The sequence below is a fragment of the Homo sapiens genome, chromosome 1, assembly GCF_000001405.40.
Source record: "Homo sapiens chromosome 1, GRCh38.p14 Primary Assembly".
NCBI classification, from domain to species: domain Eukaryota; kingdom Metazoa; phylum Chordata; class Mammalia; order Primates; family Hominidae; genus Homo; species Homo sapiens.
In genome coordinates this window covers 235,847,180-235,867,037 of record NC_000001.11, presented here as the reverse complement: position 1 = coordinate 235,867,037, position 19,858 = coordinate 235,847,180, and the positions used below count along the sequence as shown (strand labels likewise).

The following is a 19,858-nucleotide window of genomic DNA, read 5'->3' as shown; positions in this document are numbered from 1 at the left end:
AGGCGGAGCCAAGGGCGCACGCGCAGACGAGCGGGTCTGGGTCCGGACGAGGGGAGGGAGGGGGTGGTGTTCTCGGTTTCCTGGGTTACCTGGGCGGGCGGGGGTGGGGAGTGCGCGGCGGCGGCGGCAGCGGCGTCGGCTCGGGGTTCTCCGGGAGAGGGGGAGTGCGCGGCGGCCGCAGCTGCCACAAACCAGGTAAAGGCGGCCGCCGGGCGCCGACGCTGCCGGCAGAAGGTTCCGGGTCCCGGCCCCTCTGCGTGGCCTGGAGGGGAGGCGGTTTGGGGCTGGTGGCTGTCAGCCTGGGTTGAGGGCCGGGACCGCCGGGCTGAGGGCGCGAGGGCGCGAGGGCACTCGGCCTGACGCGCCAGCTCGGGGCGTCCTCTCTGGCTTCTGGGCTCTGGGACTTCTCGCGGCGCCGGGCCGCCTTTGACAGCCGCCGGGCCGCGGGCGGGAGCTCGGCTGGGCCCCTCTGGGCCATTGCAGCGGCCACTGGGCACTAACTTTATTTCGCAGCGCGCGGGGGGCGAGGTCGAGCAGGCTGACGGCGGTGTGTTGCTACCTTTATTTTATTTTTTGATCCTGTGCCGCTGCACTACTCAGCCCAGCTGGGCCCAAGCTGTCAGGTTGACGATGGGAGTTGACGGTTTCCGCGCCACCACCCAGCCGGTCACTCCCCGCGCTGTTGCCCTGCGGCGCTCGCCCACCTGTCACCTACACCGTGCGCCTCGGTCCGCTCTTTCCTCCTGTCCGTGACACCCTTTGACTGGGCGAGAGCCTCTCTTTCCAGGGGATCCCCTGAGACATCTGCCGTCTGTCTCCGGTATCACTGGAGCCTGACTGAGATGCCCCTTCGCTTCTGATGAGTTAAATAAGCTGGGAAATTACCCGAGAAGACCCCGGTACCACAGTGTAAAGCCCAACGAAGGGGTTGTTTAATGGTCCAGGGGATACAGAGGCTTTAAGAAACGTTTCCTTAACGCTAATTCTTATCTGGTTAAACAAAACATAGCAAAACATCCCCGATCCGCTCGGCAGACCATACACACCCAGCGACGGCACTTGATAGTTAATGGGGTTTGTTTTAAGCAGATAGAAAATTTTAAGGGAGTCGAATCTTGTGTTGAATGCGTTCGTGTTGAATTTGGGCCAGTGTTTCCTTGAAGATCAAATGCAGGTTGCATTTTCCTATTGTTTGTTTAACAGATTGATAGGACAAACTGAATTAGACTTTTCTTCCTGATGATTCTTGGCTCTTCTGCGCTATTATTTTAAAATTCCACGCCTAGATTCATCTATGCTAATAAAGATGTTGACTTTAAGCTTTCAATTTATAGATGTAGTTGATTAATATGGGGTATCTGTTTTAAAGAGCTTTGTTAAGTGGCCAACAACTCTTTTTCTGATAGCTCTTTGCTGTCATCCATATTGTTACTACAAAGATTGGAGAATTTGAAGAAGAGAGGGCATAAGGAAAAATGAATTGCTGTAATTTGCATAAAAATACTTCACAAACTATATAATTATATATATGTATTTAGTAAATATTTATTGAGCACCTACTGCGTGTCAGATACTTTTCTAAGAAAACATAAATATCTGCTCCTTCATGGAGCTTATATTCTAGTGGGGACCTCAGATAATAAACAAATAAAATATGTGCTGTGTCAGATGGTGTTAAGTACTACAGAGAAAAAGCACGGAAGAGGGAGGGCAGGGAAGAGGGAGGGCAGGGAACCGGGAGAGGTTTGCAATTTTAACTAGAGGCAGCCAGGGAAAGCTTCCTAGAAAAGATATCATTTGAGCCAAGACCAGAAGTAAGTGAGGGGTAATCCATGTACCTCTCTGAGGGAAGGATGTGCTAGCAGAGAGGAAGGCAGAAGGGCTTGCAGAAGCCCTGTGTGCTGGGCTTGTTTGAGGACAGCAGAGAGGCTGATTTGGCTGTGGTGGAAAAAGCAAAGAGGAGTAGAAATAAAGTCAAAGAGGTGAGTGTGGTGGGAGATTAGACTGTATAAGGCCTTGTAGGCCCTTTTAAGGACTTGAGTTTCTACTCTCAGTGGAAAGGGGAGTCCACTCTTTGAGTAAAGAACCTTACCTTTTATTTTTAGTTTTGAGTCAGGATCTCACTTTGTCTCCCAGGCTGGAGTGCAGTGGCATGATCACAACCTACTGCAGCCTCGACTTCCCAGGCTCAGGTGATCCTCTCACCTCAGCCTCTGAAGTAATTGGGACTTCAGGCACACATCACCCACCATGCTTGGCTAATTTTTTGTAAAGATGGGGTTTCGCCATTGTTGCCCAGGCTGGTCTCAAACTCCTGGGCTCAAGCGATCCATCCACCTTGGCGTGTCAACATTCTGCGATTGTAGGCGTGAGCCACTGCGCTCGGCCCCAGGCTTGCCTTTTAAAAATGATCATTCTGGGCGCTGGATGGAGAATAGACTTTGTTGTAGGGGAAGGGTTGAGCAGGAGCAGAAGCTGGGATACCAATCCGGAACTGTTGCCCTAATCCAGGCCAGAGATAATGTAGCTTGGACCAGAGTGGAATTGGTGGAGGTGGTGAGAGGTCATTGATTTCAGGATAAATTGAGGGTAGAGATGTAAAAGACACCAAAATTTAGTTCCGAACAAGTAGAAAGATGGGGTACTTGTTTACTGAGATTAGGTTTACGAGAGGAGTAGGTTTGGTGGGGAGAAGGGTGGGAGTTGGTTAGAAGACAATAAAATTAGACATTCACGTTTTTAAAGAAAAAAATATTCAATGATACTTGTTTAAGAATGGTAAGTAAGGCTTTATTCAGAACCATCTCAATAGGTATAGAGACCTCTGCAGTGGGGCCCTGCAGTAGGGGAGGGAGACTGGGCTCAACTCCGAATACAGCATGAGAAAATGGGAATTTATAGCCAAGCAGCAGTGTGGGGATCGTGGATGGAAAATTGCTAAAAGGAAACATCAGGGATAAGGGGGATTCTGGCTAAGCCGACCTAACGGGATTCTTGCTGAAGACAGGCCAGGGCGATCAGACATTACCTGGGGAATGGTGGAGGATGAGGAACCTGATCAGATATTTAGGATGATTAGATATCCAGGATGTTATGCTAAACAGACTTAGCAGGGTTCTTTGCTAATACTGGATTTTACAAGGAAGTGCACAGATGGGCCTCACAGAAAATTCAAAAGCCTGAGTAAGTTTGGCCAAGCAAAGAATTTTTGTCAAAGCTGAGATTATTAGTAGTAAACACAAGTGACTTTGTTTTGAAGACACTTTTTACGTTACCTTGACTATACCAGGGGGTTAAAAATTTCACCCATAAACTGCCAGCTTTGATTTCATGATTATTTTCTTCTTAATTCTTTTGGACCAACCTAGTCATTCTTTTCCCAATTGTAGTTTTATTTTTGTTTGATTGCACTCACATAGTGTGTTTGTTAGCTTCGGTTGTAGAGAGAGCCATATAGTCTGGAATTTCAGAGTACCTTTTTGGTCTGTTGCTGTATTTAACTTGAACACCTTCATCTGATTAATCTTTTCCTGAATTATCTGGTTGCCGGCTTAAGTTCAACATTTTTTTTTTTTTTAGACAGAGTCATTCTCTGGTTTCTCTTCAAATTGTATAAATCTTTCGCCTTTTACTAAAGATTTCCGTGGAGACAGAGTCTCGCTCTGTCACCCAGGCTGGAGTGTAGAGGCGAGATCTTGGTTCACTGCAACCTCCACCTCCCAGGTTCAGCCAATTCTCCTGCCTCAGCCTCCAGAGTAGCTGGGACTACAGGTGTGTGCCACCACACCCGGCTGATTTTTTGTGTTTTTAGCAGAGATGGGGTTTCACTGTGTTAGCCTGGATGATCTCAATCTCCTGACCTCATCATCTGCCCTCCTCGGCCCCCAACTGTGCCTGGATTACAGGCGTGAGCCACCGTGCTGGGCCAAGTTCAAGATTTTTTTTAAGCCCTAAAATGTTATCAAGTGTGGCTTTACTTGGCCATTTGCAAAATTACAAAGGAAATGACTCATTTTTAATACTTTGTAATGTCAAAAGACAAAATTACAACAAATTTAGCTTAAAGATCTTACTTCACCTTTGCCATTGTAGAATCAGGCAACACCTCATTTTATAAAATAGAACAAGTGTTCTCATGAGCCGAGCAGAAGTGGTTGGTTTTATGGTAGTCTCACTTTATCTTGAAGGGGTGTGTGTGTGTGTGTGTGTGTGTGTGTGTGTGTGTGTGTGTTTGTTTGTTTTGAGATGGAGACTTGCTGTGTTGCCCAGGCCAGAGTGCAGTGGGGTGATCTCAGCTTACTGCAAACTCCGGCTCCTAGGTTCAAGCGATTCTCCTGCCTCAGCCTCCTGAGTAGCTGGGACTACAGATGCCTGCCACCATGCCCGGCTAATTTTTGTAATTTTAGTAGACATGGGGTTTCACCGTGTTGCCCAGGCTGGTCTCGAACTGCTGACCTCAAGTGATCTGCCCATCTTGGCCTCCCAAAGTGCTGGGATTACAGGCATGAGCCACCGCACCCGGCCTTGGGGAGATATGTTCTAAGATCCCCAGTGGAAGCCTGAAATGGTGGATAGTACTGAATCCTATATACACTATAGGGCAGGATGAGATTTCATCATGCTACTCAGAACAGGGTGCAATTTGAAATTATGAATTATTTCTGGAATTTTCCATTTAATATTTTCAGACCACAGTTGACCTCAGGTAACTGAAACCTTGGAAAATGAATCTGCGGATAAAGGGATACTACCGTATACACTGAAAAGGGGTGAGGAAAACAGAAACAGAAAAGAAAAAGCAAATTGGTCATTTAAAGTTACTTTTCTTATTAGGGTTAAAGCAGATGGGACTTCCTTATGTCAGTCATATCATATCATATCAACTGGCCTGTTTGGGATTTGACTACTAACTCTGTCTCTCCTGATTGCTTGGAAGGTCAGATAAACAACTTAGTTTTGGCTTGGTGAAGTGGAACTTCAGCATGAGTGACTCCATTTTGATTTGATCTGTTGTCCCTAGTGCAGGAGGAACTCAGTCTAAACCAGTGACCTCCTATAAATTTCATTTAACACTGGTAAGTTAGTAATATGCAGGGATTAGCCTAATTGTTTTGTTTCAGTAAAGATGGCTTGAAATAAATGGGCCATCACATGTTAAATGAAGATCTTCTAAATCAAATTATATAGTATTTGTAGCAATAGAATTTGCCCTGTAAAACTTGGATAAAAAGTCTATCAGTCTCCGAAGCCAGGAGCCATGGCTTGTGCCTATAGTCCCAGTTACTTGGAAGACTGAGGTGGGAGGATCGCTTGAGCCTGGTTCGAGTCCAGCCTGGGCAACACAGCAACACGTCATCTCTAAACAGAACAAACAAACAAAACATATATATGTATATATCAGTCTTCTGGAATTTAAGGTCTACACTTTAAGAACCAGGAAATAAGCTAATTTTTTAAAATGGATTTTCAACCTAAATATATCTTAAAAATGTATAAAAATCTGTCAGATTAATAACTAATTATAAACTGATCTTGGAGTCTTTGAGGGCACTGTATTGTCTTTGATATTATTTTATTTTGCTGCTGTGTGTCACCAGTGTTTGGCTTTGTAACTCTTAATCCCCCAACTTTGTTTACAGTAATGAGAGAGGTCCAATACGTTTGGAAATGTTGAAGGCTTTCCAGGTCTAACTGCTGAAAAACAAAAATCTTACCTAATAACATGAAAGATTAATGCTTAAAATTGATTATCTTAATCAAGAAAGGAATCAAATAATTTTCAAAAGGCTAGTCATTGTTCCATTCAAATATGATTCTTTGAAATTAAAACATAAAATGGATGAGGACATAAGAGAGCTTTTCACTATTTTAACTGAATGGAAGAAATAAATGAACAATAGGGTAGAGTACTACACATATTAGAAATGTTTATAAAACTACTGCCACTCATCTTTAAAAAGCAATGTTTATATAACAGATTACTACTTAGCAATAACAAGGAATGAACTTTAGATCACACAACAACATGGATAAATCTCAAAATAATTACACAGCACGAAAAAAAGCCAGACCAAAAAGAAAAAAAAAGTACATACTGCATTGTTCCATCTGTAAAATTCTAGAAAATGCCTATTAATCTATAATGGAAGAAAGATCAATGCTGGCCTGGAGATAAGTTACAGAGGGAAGGGGCAGGAAAGAGGGAGAACAGTGGCATACTAGGAAACTTCAGGGGATACTAGATATGTTTACTATCTTGATTTGATGATGGTTTCATGGGTGTACACATATGTTGGAACATATCAAATTATGCACTTTAAATATGTGGTTTGTTACATGTCAGTTATACCTGTAAAGTTGTGTTTAAAAGTGGCTTGACCATGAAAAGACATGAAGAAATCTTTAGTGCATATCACTAAGTGAAAAAAGGCAAACTGAAAAGTCTGCATACTTTATGATTACAAGTGTATGGCATTCTGGGAAAGGCAAAACTATGGAGACAGTAAAAAGATTAGTGGTGGAGAGAAGGAGGGATGAATACGCAGAGCACAGAAGATTTTTAGGGCGGTGAAACTATTCTGAAGATACTACAGTGGTAGCTACATGTTATTATACATTTGTCGATACCCATAGAATATACCACATCAAGAGTGAATCCTAATGTAAACTGTGGACTTTGGGTGATAATGACCTGTCAGTGTAGGTTCATTGATTATAACAAATGTACCAGTTTAGGGGGGCTGTCCATAGTTGGGGAGGCTGTACATGTGTGAGAGAGCAGGGTGTACATGGAAACTCTGTAATTGCCTCTCTGTTTTGTTGTGAACCTAAAACTCTTCTAAAAAATAAAGTCTTTTTTTAAAAAAGAGGATAGAAGATTTCTGCCAGAAACCTGAAGAATTGCATATTTTACATTTAAAAATGGGGGGAGAGGAAGGTAAAGTCCAGAAACTATATATTGAAAATCTTGACACTGACTGATTCCTAGAAAAACTATAGACCAGCTTGCCAAGTGCTTAGTGATTTGTAATTAGAAAAGAAAGCACTGATTACTAAGACCCAGAATTTGTTTAAGAACAAGTCATATTAAGCTAACTTCATGCTTACTTTGCCAAAGATGTAATAGTATTTGTATGATACTCTTTGTATAGTACTACTTTATAACTTACAGAGTACATTCCCATTTATTATTTTATTTAACCCTGACAACATCCCTTTCAATTCGTGTAAGATGAGAAAGACCTCAACAGTAATAATCCCAGGAAGGCGCAAAGGGGACAGATGTGAGAGATTTTAGAAAGGCCTTGTGTAGTTATGGATAAAGGAGAGGGAGGAATCAAAGCAGGCTTTAAGGATTCTAGATTGTCTGAGGGTGAATGGGGATGCAGATAATTACTCGTAATTTAAAAAATACGGGTGGAGGAGTGGATTTGGAGATGTGAAATCCATCAGTTTTCTTCAGTTTGGTGGAATTAGCTGTTTTATTTCCTTTGTTGAAACTGAGTCAGATATAGATACATTTAAAAAAAAAAAAAGGCCTGGTGCTCAGGAGAGAAGCCTAAACCCAATAAAACAATTTTCATTTGTTCAGTAAATATATTCTTTCAAATACTTTTGGTAATGAAGGGAGGTTAGTGGGTAGAAGCTTGAGGAAGTAGATGTGATCATTGGGAAGGTTTGTCTGTTTTAAGGATGGAGAAGCCAAGGACACTTCAGTGGATTGAGGGAAAGGGACCATTGAAGAGGAAGAAAATTGAAGTCACAAGAGGTAGAAGATAATTGATCAAATGTAACGAGAGGAAATGGAAGAGTCAGGTCCAGGAGGACAAATGAAAGAGTTACCCTGAAGAAGAGGAATGATGTATCTTCCTGTTTAAAAACGAAAAGGAAATGGGGTAGATATAGATATAAGTTAGTATCCAGGATGACATCTCTTTTTCTCTGTGAAGCAAGATTATCTGCTGAGATTGAGAAGGAAGAACATGGGTTGGAGTATGCTTGAGGGGAAAATAAAAGTTACTATTGAGATTGTAAAAGGGACTTAACTAGGGGCATGTGACTTCTTTGCTGAATCATGATGAATACCCTTCCAGGCTTGAAATCACAAATGTACAGAGGCCAGCAGGATGGTTAAGCAGTGTTCTCCAGCAGCCTGCCTGCTCCCACTCCCCTTCCCTGCCCCCCATAACAATGCAGAAAACAAATAGACTGAACTTGGACCACTCCCCTTCCCCACCCCCATAACAATGCAGAAAACAAGTAGACTGAACCTGGATTGAGATTGGAAGGGAAGATGTGATGGAAAACTTGAGTAGGGGGTAGTGGGAAGTCAAGGAATAGAGAGTGGTAATGAGGCTGCTAATTGAAGGGTTGAGCCATAGGAATCCTGCTTATTAAGGAACAAAGCCAAGCCAAGACAAGGCTGGTAAATGTGGATAATGAAGAGGATGAAGAATCTAAATGAGTCAAGTGCAGGATTAATGGAAATAAAAGAGTACTAGAGATGGAAAAATTGGCACATAGATGTGAGAATTCTCAATTTAAGATTCTGGAGTTAGCAGTTTCAGGTGATGATAAGGGCCAAAGAATGACCAATGATGGGTGGATAGCCAAGATTAATAGTGCTAATTATAACAATATTAATATTAATAAAAACTACTATTCATTGAACACTGTGTAGTAGTCACTATAGTAAATATTTTCCATAGGTTATCATGCTTATGTTTCACATATTAGTATCAACATTTTACAGATGAGGAAACTGGAGCTCAGTGAGATTGAGTAACTTTTCCCAAGACTCACAGCTACGAAGTACCTGAGTCTTTCTGAGTCCTTCTAGCATTGAAGCACTTATGCCTGACTACTAAACCATGCTAGCCTTCTGCAAAGTAGGGGTCATTGAAGAAGAAGGCAAAGAGCATTAAGTCTTGTGTGTTGGAATCAATTGTTCTTATGGATAATGAAGTCCCCAGAATATATAGCTTCTGTGTGGAAAGGAAGATAGTCATACGACAAAATTCTCAGTAAATGGAGATGGCTGACTCAAAGGTCAGTAGGTGACAACTATAAATATAGCTATAATGTAATCTTAAAAGTGGATAAAATCGAATAACAATGACTTACAAGTCATCTTGGGAAACTAGGAGAATACTGACTTGTCTTCCTGGCCCCCAAAGTGATGCATATGAAAATATTAACCATTCATTTCTTAACCCTCTCTTCTCTCTTGGCTTGTGAAATTTTATATATATATGTGTGTGTGTGTGTGTGTGTGTGTGTGTGTGTGTGTGTGTGTATTTACATATGTTTGTGTATATATACGTGTGTGTGTGTATATATATACACCTGTGTGCACACGCGCACACACACCCACAGACACACCCCCCTCTTTTTTGGTTTTCCTCGTACCCCTCTAACCACTCCTCTTCAGTCTCATTGGCTGGATTCTTCTTTGCCAGCTCCTTCATGTTGGTGAGCCTCTGGATTCTCTCCTCCTCCTCATTTCTCTTTCTTTGTGCTTTCCTTTGATGATCTCATCTATTTCTAAGCTTTCATATACCACCTATATGTTAATGACTTCTGAATGTTCATCTAGAGATGAATCTAGAACTTTCTTCAAATCCCAACATCCTTATATAGGAAGATGTACCCAGAAGAAATAGCCCATGATATTTCAGGGCAATATCATGTGACTAGAGAAAGTCATCTTAGGCTAGTAATCTCCACTCATGCCCATCTAGTTGAGGGCTCAATTCACTTATTTTCAACATCCACAACCATTTCTAAGGTGATAGCTTCTCTGGTTACTTATCACTGGTATGACCAAACATCTTGATTTGCCTAAGATGGCTCTGGTTTATGCCTATTGTTCAAGACCAACCTGGCCAACATGGTGAAACCCCATCTCTACTAAAAATACAAAAAATTAGCTAGGTGTGGTGACGCACACCTGTAATCCCAGCTACTGAGGAGGCTGAGGCATGAGAATCGCTTGAACCTAGGAGGTGGAGGCTGCAGTGAGCCGAGATCGCACCACTGCATTCCAGCCTGGGCGACAAGAGTGAGATTTCATCTCAAAAAAAAAAAAAAAAAAAAAATCAGTATATCCTGTGTAACTTGTAAGAGCTGCTTATATCCATCAGCTCACTCTTATCCTACTTTTCATATTTAAGTGTCTAGACTTCATTGTACCTTTACTGCATTATGACTTAGAGTTTGTTCAAGATTAAAATCTTTTGCCATTTCCTGAATTTCTGCTTAGTGATGCTTCCAAAGACAGTAATACTGATAATTAGTCTTGAAATATTTCTCTATTAGCCTTATTTAAACATTTTGGAGAATGTTTCTAAAGTCATTTGCTCCACATTACTGAAATATATTTATTTTCTCTTCACCTTATTTTTTAAAAAACAGAACCCAGTAAGGCAGTTTTGATAAAACCTGATTATGCACAGTTTAAGGAAACATTGAAGATGTATAATTTTAATCTTAAATTAATGTTGATACTTACTACATTTTCTGAATGTTGTACTCTCATAAAAGTTCACAACCCAAAGAGGCATTTAGAGATCATCTAGTTTTTGTTTTTTAAATATCTGTAAGAATAATGGGCATCAGAAAGGTTAAGCACCTTGCCTGAGATCCTAAAGAGAACAAGGCAAAACAGAAAACTGAGAATCTCTTGACTTTTAGTCTACTATTCTTTCTGTTATACTACCAACCATTTGAAAATTTTAATGTATTTTAAGAAAGTGATCTCATAACCAAAAGATGTCTGTGCATCATAGAAACCCATAGTGTTTGGTTTTCAATATGTAATTTCCTTATTTTACCCCTTTAACTTTAACCCTTTTTCTTTATACAAGTCTACATTTAGACCACAGTGATAGAAACTACCGAGTATGATAGAAACTACCCAGTGTGGTAGGGAAAAAAATTATGTGGGTGGAATTTGAAATGCCTGTGCTCAGAAAATATTTATATATATTTCTTTCTTATTTCTGTTCTGTGCTCTGCTCCCCTAACTATCCATCTTCACACATGGTTATAGAACAGTAGATTCAGCCACCAGATCTGAGTTTGAACTTGTGGTTATCTTTCTTGGTGTGAAATGTTTTATAACAGTAAACACATTTTTCTGTAATTGACTGCCTCAATTATTGTTTTTTCTTTCTTTTGAAGGGAAGCTAATTTTTTTGTTTCTTAAGAATTATGAAATAAGAGGAAACGTGCTATCTATACGTGCAAGGTGTATTTAAAGCTTATAAATATCTGTGTTCAGTATGTCTAAAACTTATTTTGCAGAATCTTCTAAAACTTATTTTGCAGAATCTTTAACCTTATGCAAAATATATATGAAAAAAGTTTATTATTATAGTACAGCTACATAAATTATTTTTATTATTTTCATTTCACATTTAGGATAAGGCTCCAAGCTGTTTTTAGCATTCCTCAGGAGGTATGGAAAACTATCATGCTTATAATTGATTTTCAAGAACTTTTAAACTGTATGCTTTGGATTATCTTTAACAGTATGAATAAGCATCCAAAATTTTATTGCTGAAGGTTTTTGGTTTTAATATGAAAAATGTTTGGTAAGGTTTTTAAGGTGTTTCGGTAGTGCCTTAAATGCTAATTGTGGAATAGAGAGTGGCTTTTGTAAATGTGTCTGTTTCTCAGAGCCTTACCTGGGGGAACATTTCCTAAAGGTATTTGAATATTAAAATGTTTTCTATCAAAGTTAGTATTAAATGAACTGGTGTTTATTTATTGAACTCTTGTATCTGTGGTACTGTGTTAGATGCTCATATTTTTCTGATCAAATAAGATCTGGTTTCCTTTCTTAAGAAAAGTATAATCTAGTTTTAAAAGAAACAATACAGTACAGTGTGGTGAGTGATAAGATAGAGGCATATGGAAAAGTAATTAATTGGGAATTAATGGGAATTTCCATAGCAACATGATAAAAAATTAGTTGAGAAAGTGTATACCCTTTGAAGGAATTGCAGGGTGGTACAACGTGTTATGTGTTGGGAGTTTGGAAAAGCTAAATTGTAGCAGGTATTGCATACTTTGATAATAAGCAGTTGGGATCTTCTTCCCTATGAATTGGAGTGACATTTGTCATTCCAAGGGATATGAGTAACATTTTTAGTGGTAGCATATTTAGATTAAACAGAAAATAGACCAGACAGTGTGATCAAGTAGGAGGTTGTTAGTATTGCAAGTAAGAGAGGAGTTGAAGGTCTAAGGATGCTTAGGTGTAAGATTAGGGGGAAGGACCAGATTCAAGGTGATGATGATAATATCTAATAATAATTGATTTTCCTGCAATCTGCCAGGCACTGTGCTATGCATTTTACATGAATTATCTCGTTTAATGTTGATATTCGCAACAACTACAGCTACTCTTATGAACTCAGTTGTATAGATGAGAAACTGAGGCTTAGAAAGAGGAAGTCGAGTACCCAAGGTCATAGAGCAGCAGATGCAGAGGTGAACCAGTAAGTGGTCAAGAGGGAGAATTGACTAGGCACTAGATGAAGTGCTATTCTGGTTTCTCACCTCAGTCACTGGGTAGAGGCCATTTACTGAAAGAGGAATGAAGAAGGAAGAGCTGGCTTATTGGAGAGAGAAGTCAATGTCTGCTTTGGAGAATAGAAATTTGTATATAGAATACAAAGGGATTGCATGAGTCTGAATCCTGGCCCTGACACTTAGTAACTCTGTGACTTTGAGCAATGACCTAACCTTACTGTGCTTCAGTTTCCAATATGTGTCAACTAGGGATAATAATGTTACTTAGGAGATTGTTAGGAGGATTAAACTAACTACTCTACTTACCTAGAGTGCTTACAATAGTGCCTGATGTGTAGTAATTAATCACTGTAGGTGTTAGCCAGATTATCATCATCATCATCATGCTATAAAAATCCAAAGGTCTCTTTTGAGGAGGGATGTAGTAGTCAGTGTAAAACATCTAGCACATTCCTTCTAACAGGGATAGAAAGCCGGGGAGATGATTTACCTGGATGAACCTTCATAGTTCCTTTAAATGCCGTCTCTCTCTCTATAGCTACAATATCTCAGAATTTCTACCCTTTTGCGGTGCTCAGGGCCAAACACAGGTTCTTCCTGAGATATCTGGTTGCCGAATTTGTTTGTTTTTAGGAAAAATGAACTACCTGTTGAAAGGCTTAAGTTTGGTGCGTTTTAGTGTGACTTCCTCTGAATTTCTATTAAAATTTTGCCTGGCTGCCCTATGCCTGAGTTTCCTTTATTTCCTGGCCAGCTTTGTTCTGCAAGGAGCCAGAGTAACCTCTCCTCCCTAGGTCAGCGCCCCAGGTTTCAAGGCAGCCGGAATGGCATGTTAACCAAGATTTCATGGGCTTGGGGAGAGGGGTAGCGAAATAGGCAATGTTGTTTATTGACACCCTGAAATATGAAAAAATAATATGTACACCTTTCTGGGCCATTGCTGTCTTAGATTTCCATTCTTCCCCCAGAACTACTGCCTTACTGCTGTTATACATGTTTTTTTTTTTAGTTTTCTTTACACAATTCTACATAAATTGGAAATATTTCATTAAACACATTTTTCTACTTTAACTTAGCTTAAATGCATAATACAGAATAAATATAGGAACAGCACAACCATTTATTTCCATATTCACTAGTTAAGGATTATTATATTCCCACATTTTAAATATAGAACATCTAGTTCAGAGCCAATTCTTAACCCTCCGATGCTGAAATTTCTGATGCTCTTTAGAGCTGAAGGTGTTACTTCTTGTTAAAATGTACATACTTCTTTTCAAGAGGAGCAACATTTTTCTTCCAAGTCATTTACTTTTTGGTATAAATGTACAATGTGGAAACATGGAAAAAGATAACAAAGCTGTAAAACATCTTGAGAAGTTTGTGGGGGGGCAAGAAGTTTGTGGTGCTTGGAGGCGTGCCTGGGAGTTGGCACTAAGTACAGCTGTAATTAGTCAGTTTTCTGTCCTGTCCACACAGAAAACCGTCTAGTTACAGTTGTAAGTTGTGCCAGACCTAATCGCTAAAATGCTCTGAAAGGTAGAATTCTGAAAGATATAGTTTGGTTGTGAGTAGTCTGTCAAAAATTGTATGCAGTATTAGGAAAAACATTGGATAGGACTCTGCAGACCTAGCTGTTAAGTCCTCTGACTTTTGGGAAATCTCTTAACTGCTGTCTGCCTTAGTTTATCTGTAAAATTTTGAGGGAGGTGATATGGTCATTAACCCAGAGATCGTTTAACTCTCTGAAAGTTGATTGTAGAATGGATTCTCATTTTAAAATAATTTATTAAATGCGAACTCTGGCAGTTTTCCTTTATTGTCAATCAACTTGTCACTTACCTCAGTATTAGTTGAAAAAATGTCTTTTGAGTATGGCAGTTACGTCTTACATATGACTGTGTTCCAGAGGCTCATTTCTAAGATGGTTGTTGAGAATGTTTAGAATGCATAAGATTTGCCCTTACAGACAAAATAAACTACAGTATACTTGAGTGTTGCATTGTGAGACTTCCCCGGGAAAAAGGTCCGGCAAAGTGCTGAGATTACCTCAACATGTCTAACTGGCTTACTGTTTGCCTTACGTGGTACTATCCTACTTTTGGGGCCCTTTCCCCAGATTGTTGGAGCTACCACAAATGGCTTTGAGGTACAGGAATCTCTTCTCCCTCCCTGACAGGCAGGGGGCTGGGGGAGAATGGGGCAAAACATATTGCTAGCAATTCAAGTTGGAACTCTGAATTCATTTTCCCATTGAGGCATGAGTTGTTACTAAGATTCTGTAGGGTCTGTAGTTAAAAGCCTTAACAGCATTTCCTTCCTGAAGCTGTCCCAATGTTAGTATCTACGGAACTGGAGACCACAATCTTTATTTCCTAAGAATACATGACATCTTGACTTCTAGTCAGATGCTCCTTAATGCACTCTTCAGAGAAGCAAGTTCAGTATTTGTCAAGAAGGGCCTGGGCGCTAAACAACTGCTATCATTTCTTTTAAAGTTAATAGATTCAATGAAAGTTGAACATACCACGAAGTATGGTGAGTAGTCAATAAATATGGGATCATGATTTGTCTTATGGAAGATTTCAGTTTGTGAAACCATTTATATTATTGTTAAATTGGTTTTCATGAATTTTCTTATTCAGTTATTTAATTTAGAACTTTAAGTGTCATATCTTTCCCTGATCTGCATTTTAAATTCCAAGAGGAATTTGATCACACAAAGCCCATTAAATATTTTAATTTCCCCTATTTAGTGAGTACCAGATTTTGCTTCAGTATTCTCGAGAGTGTATTTATTATCCACTATAAAATAGATTATAAAGGTTTTTATATTAATAAAAGTAAATATATAAAAATAATATTCCTAATGAACTTTGTTTTGTCTTTAGTTAGGAATCATTCTTTTTTTGCCAATAAACCTTTTTATTTTTATTATTTTTAATTTTTCCATCAGTTATTGGGGTACAGGTGGTATTTGGTTACATGAATAAGTTATTTAGTGGTGATTTGTGAGATTTTGGTGTACCTATCACCCAAGCAGTATACACTGTACCATATTTGTAGTCTTTTAATCCCTCGCCCCCCTCCCACTCTTCCCCCCAAGTCCTCAGAGTCCATTGTATCATTCTATGCCTTTGCATCCTCATAGCTTAGCTCCCACATATCAGTGAGAACATATGATGTTTTGTTTTCCATTCCCAAGTTACTTCACTTAGAATAATAGTCTCCAGTCTCATCCAGGTCACTGCAGATGCTGTTAATTCATTCCTTTTTATGGCTGCATTGTATTTCATCATATATATATATATACACACACATATACATACATACTTACATACCACAGTTTCTTTATTCACTTGTTGATTGATGGGCATTTGGGTTGGTTCCACAATTTTGCAATTGTGAATTTTGCTGCTATAAACGTGTGTAAGTATCTTTTTCAAATAATGACTTCTTTTTCTCTGAGTAGATACCCAGTAGTGGGATTGCTAGATCCAATGTTAGTTCTACTTTTAGTTCTTTAAGGAATCTCCACATTGTTTTCCATAGAGGCTGTACTAGTTTACATTCCTACCAGCAGTGCAGAAGTGTTCCCTGTTCACCACGTCCATGCCAACATCTACTGTTTTTTGATTTTTTGATTATGGCCATTCTTGCAGGAGTGAGATGGTATCACATTGTGGTTTTGATTTGCATTCCCCTGATCATTAGTGATGTTGAGCATTTTTTCATATGTTTGTTGGCCATTTATATATCTTCTTTTGAGAACTGTCTATTCATGTCCTTAGCCCACTTTTTGATGGGATTGTTTTTTTCCTACTGATTTGTTTGAGTTTGTTGTAGATTCTGGATATTAGTCCTTTGTCAGATGTATAGATTGTGAAGATTTTCTCCCAATTCTGTGGGTTGTTTGTTTACTCTGCTGACTGTTACTTTTGCCATGCAAAAGCTCTTTAGTTTAATTAGGTCCCAGCTATTTATCTTTGTTGTTATTGCATTTACTTTTGGGTTCTCTGTCATGAAATCCTTGCCTAAGCCAATGTCTAGAAAGGTTTTTCCAATGTTATCTTCTAGAATTTTTATAGTTTCAGGTCTTAAGTTTAAGTCCTTAGTACATGTGTAGTTGATTTTTTGTATAAGGTGAGAGATGAGGATCCAGTTTCATTCTCCTACATGCGGCTAGCTGATTATTCCAGCATGATTTGTTGAAAAGAATGTCCTTTCCCCACTTTATGTTTTTGTTTGCTTTGTCAAAGATCAGTTGGCTGTAGGTATTTGGGTTTATTTCTGGGTTCTCTATTGTGTTCCATTGGTCTATGTGCCTATTTTTATACCAGTACCACACTATTTTGGTGACTATGGCCTTATAGTATAGTTTGAAATCAGGTAATGTGATGCCTCCAGATTTGTTCTTTTCACTTAGTCTTGCTTTGGCTATGCAGGCTCTTTTTTGGTTCCATATGAATTTTAGATTTTTTTTTCTAATTCTGTGAAGAATGATAGTGGTATTTTGATGGGGATTGCATTGAATTTGTAGATTGCTTTTGGCAGTATAGTCATTTTCACAATATTGATTCTACCCATCCATGAGCATGGGATATGTTTCCATTTGTTTGTGTCATCTGTGATTTCTTTGAGCAGTGTTTTGTAGTTTTCCTTGTAGAGATCTTTCAATTCCTTTGTTAGGTGTCTTCCTAAGTTTTTTTTTTTTTTTTTTTTTTTGGAGCTATTGTAAAAGGGGTTGAGTTCTTTTATTTGATTCTCCACTTGGTCGCTGTTGGTGTATAGAAGAGCTACTGATTCGTGTACATTAATCTTGTATCCAGAAACTTTGTTGAATTCTTTTATCAGTTCCGTGAGCTTTCTAGAGGAGTCCTTAGGGTTTTCAAGGTAAACAATCATATCATCAGCAAACAGTGAAAGTTTGACTTCCTCTTTACTGACTTGGATGCCCTTTATTTCTTCCTCTTGTCTGATTGCTCTGGCTAGGACTTCCAGTACTATGTTGAAGGGGAGTGGTGAGAGTGGGCATCCTTGTCTTGTTTTAATTCTCAGAGGGAATGCTTTCAACTTTTCCCCATTCAGTATTATGTTGGCTGTGGGTTTGTCATAGAGGGCTTTTATTACATTAAGGTATGACCCTTGTATGCCGATTTTGCTGAGAATTTTAATCATAAAGGATGCTGGATTTTGTTGAATGCTTTTTCTGCATCTATTGAGATGATCATGTGATTTTTGTTTTTAATCCTGTTTATGTGGTGTATCACATTTATTGACTTACGTATGTTAAACCATCCCTGCATCCCTGGTATGAAACCCACTTGATCATGGTGGATTATCTTTTTGACATGTTCTTGGATTTGGTTAGCTAGTATTTTGTTAAGGATTTTAGCATCTGTGTTCATCAAGGATATCGTTCTGTAGTTTTCTCTTTTTGGTTATGTCCTTTCCTGGTTTTGATATTAGTGTGATGCTGGCTTCATATAATGAATTAGGTAGGGTTCCCTCTTTCTCTTTCTTGTGGAATAGTGTCAAAAGGATTGGTACCAATTCTTTAAATGTCTGGTAGAATTCTGCCGTGAATCTGTCTGGTCCTGGACTTTTTTTTTAGTGGTAATTATTAAATTACCATTTCAATCTCGCTGGGTCTGTTCAGGGTATCTCATTCTTCCTGATTTAAGCTAGGAGGGTTGTATTTTTCCAGGAATGTATCCATCTCTTCTAGACTTTCTAGTTTATGTCTGTAAATGTATTCGTAGTAGCCTTGAATGATCTTTTGTATTTCAGTGGTGTCAGTTGTAGTATCTCCCATTTCATTTCTTAATGAGGTCATTTGGATTTTCTCTCTTCTTTTCTTGGTTAATCTTGCTAATGATATATCAATTTTATTTATCTTTTCAAAGAACCAGCTTTTTGTTTCATTTATCTTTTGTATTTTTTTTGTTTGTTTCAATTTCATTTAGTTTTGCTCTGATCTTGGTTATTTCCTTTCTTCTGCTGGGTTTGGGTTTGCTTTGTTCTAGTTTCTCTAGTTCCTTGAGGTGTGACCTTAGATTGTGCTCTTTCAGACTTTTTGATGTAGGCATTTAGGACTGTGAACTTTCCTCTTAGCACCACCCTTGCTCCATCGCAGAGGTTTTGATAGGTTGTGTCATTATTGTCATTCAGTTCGAAGAATTTTTTAATTTCTATCTTGATTTCGTTTTTGACCCAATGCTCATTCAGGAGCAGGTTATTTAATTTCCATGTATTTGCATGGTTTTGAAGCTTCCCTTTGGAGTTGATTTCCAGTTTTATGCCGCTGTGGTCTGAGAGAGTGCTTGATATAATTTCAGTTTTCTTAAATCTATTGAGACTCGTTTTGTTGCCTGTCATATGATCTATCTTGGAGAAAGTTCCATGTGCTGTTGAATAGAATGTATATTCTGCAGTTGTTGGATGAAATGTCTGTATATATCTGTCAAGTCCATTTGTTCCAAGGTATAGTTTAAATTCATTGTTTCTTTGTTGACCTTCTGTGTTGATGACCTGTCTGGTCATTGGAGTATTGAAGTCCCCCACTATTATTGTGTTGCTGTCTCATTTCTTAGGTCTATTAGTAATTGTTTTATAAATTTGGGAGCTCCAGTGTTAAGTGCATATATGTTTAGGATTGTGATATCTTCCTGTTGGACAAGGCCTTTTACCATTATATAATGTCCCTCTTTGTCTCTTTTAACTGCTGTTGCTTTAAAGTTTGTTTTGTCTGATGTAAGAATACCTTGCTGGCTTTTGGTGTCCATTTGCATGAAATGCCTTTTCCCACCCCTTTACCGTATGTGAGTGCTTATGTGTTAGGTGAGTATCCTGAAGGCAATAGATAGTTGATTGGTGAATTCTTATCCATTCTGTGGTTCTGTATCTTTTAAGTGGAGCATTTAGGCCATTTACATTCAATTTTAGCATTGAAATGTGCGGTATGGTTCCATTCATCATGCTCCTTGTTGCCTCTGTACTTTTGTTTGTTGTTGTTTTGTTTTTGCTTTTTAACTTGCATTTTTGTTCTATAGGCCCTGTGTGATTTATGCTTTGAAGAGGTTCTGTTTTGATGTGTTTCCAGGATTTGTTTCAAGACTTGGAGCTCCTTTTAGCAGTTCTTCTAGTGGTGGCTTGGTGATGGCGAATTCTCTCAGCATGTGTTTGTCTGAAAAAGACTGTATCTTTCCTTCATATATGATGCTTAATTTTGCTGGATACAAAATTCTTGGCTGATAATTGTTTTGTTTGAGGAGTCTGAAGTTAGGGCCCCAATCCCTTCTAGCTTATAGGGTTTCTGCTG

General features: G+C 39.0%; 1 protein-coding gene, 1 non-coding gene and 1 pseudogene across 16 annotated transcripts in view, besides 3 other annotated features; all 3 read left to right on the top strand.

Annotated features, from left to right (window-relative positions):
• Window positions 1-19,858, top strand: part of LYST (lysosomal trafficking regulator) — a 222,683-nt gene that overhangs the window by 16,676 nt on the left and 186,149 nt on the right. For 10 of the 15 annotated variants that reach the window (XM_011544031.2, NM_000081.4, XM_047443027.1 and 7 more), the window contains exon 1: window positions 132-195. The exons of 3 other annotated variants lie outside the window; for them this stretch is intronic. The gene's annotated coding sequence lies outside the window, so the exon portion shown is untranslated. Of the gene's footprint in view, window positions 1-131; window positions 1,983-8,132; window positions 15,076-19,858 lie in introns of those variants that run through there. 2 more of the 15 variants (XM_011544033.3, XM_047443026.1) reach the window with 2 other exon arrangements.
• Window positions 15-434: a silencer, noted in NCBI's record as "silent region_1991". NCBI's record gives its function as "represses an Ori minimal core promoter by ATAC-STARR-seq in GM12878 lymphoblastoid cells {active_cell/tissue: GM12878}" and the evidence as "EXISTENCE:reporter gene assay evidence [ECO:0000049][PMID:35858748]".
• Window positions 555-654: an enhancer, noted in NCBI's record as "active region_2806". NCBI's record gives its function as "activates an Ori minimal core promoter by ATAC-STARR-seq in GM12878 lymphoblastoid cells {active_cell/tissue: GM12878}" and the evidence as "EXISTENCE:reporter gene assay evidence [ECO:0000049][PMID:35858748]".
• Window positions 1,025-1,074: an enhancer, noted in NCBI's record as "active region_2805". NCBI's record gives its function as "activates an Ori minimal core promoter by ATAC-STARR-seq in GM12878 lymphoblastoid cells {active_cell/tissue: GM12878}" and the evidence as "EXISTENCE:reporter gene assay evidence [ECO:0000049][PMID:35858748]".
• On the top strand, window positions 3,601-3,650 carry RNU5E-2P (RNA, U5E small nuclear 2, pseudogene; annotated as a pseudogene).
• Window positions 13,978-14,038, top strand: MIR1537 (microRNA 1537). The gene has a single exon (NR_031718.1). It is a non-coding gene; the product is annotated as a microRNA 1537 (primary transcript).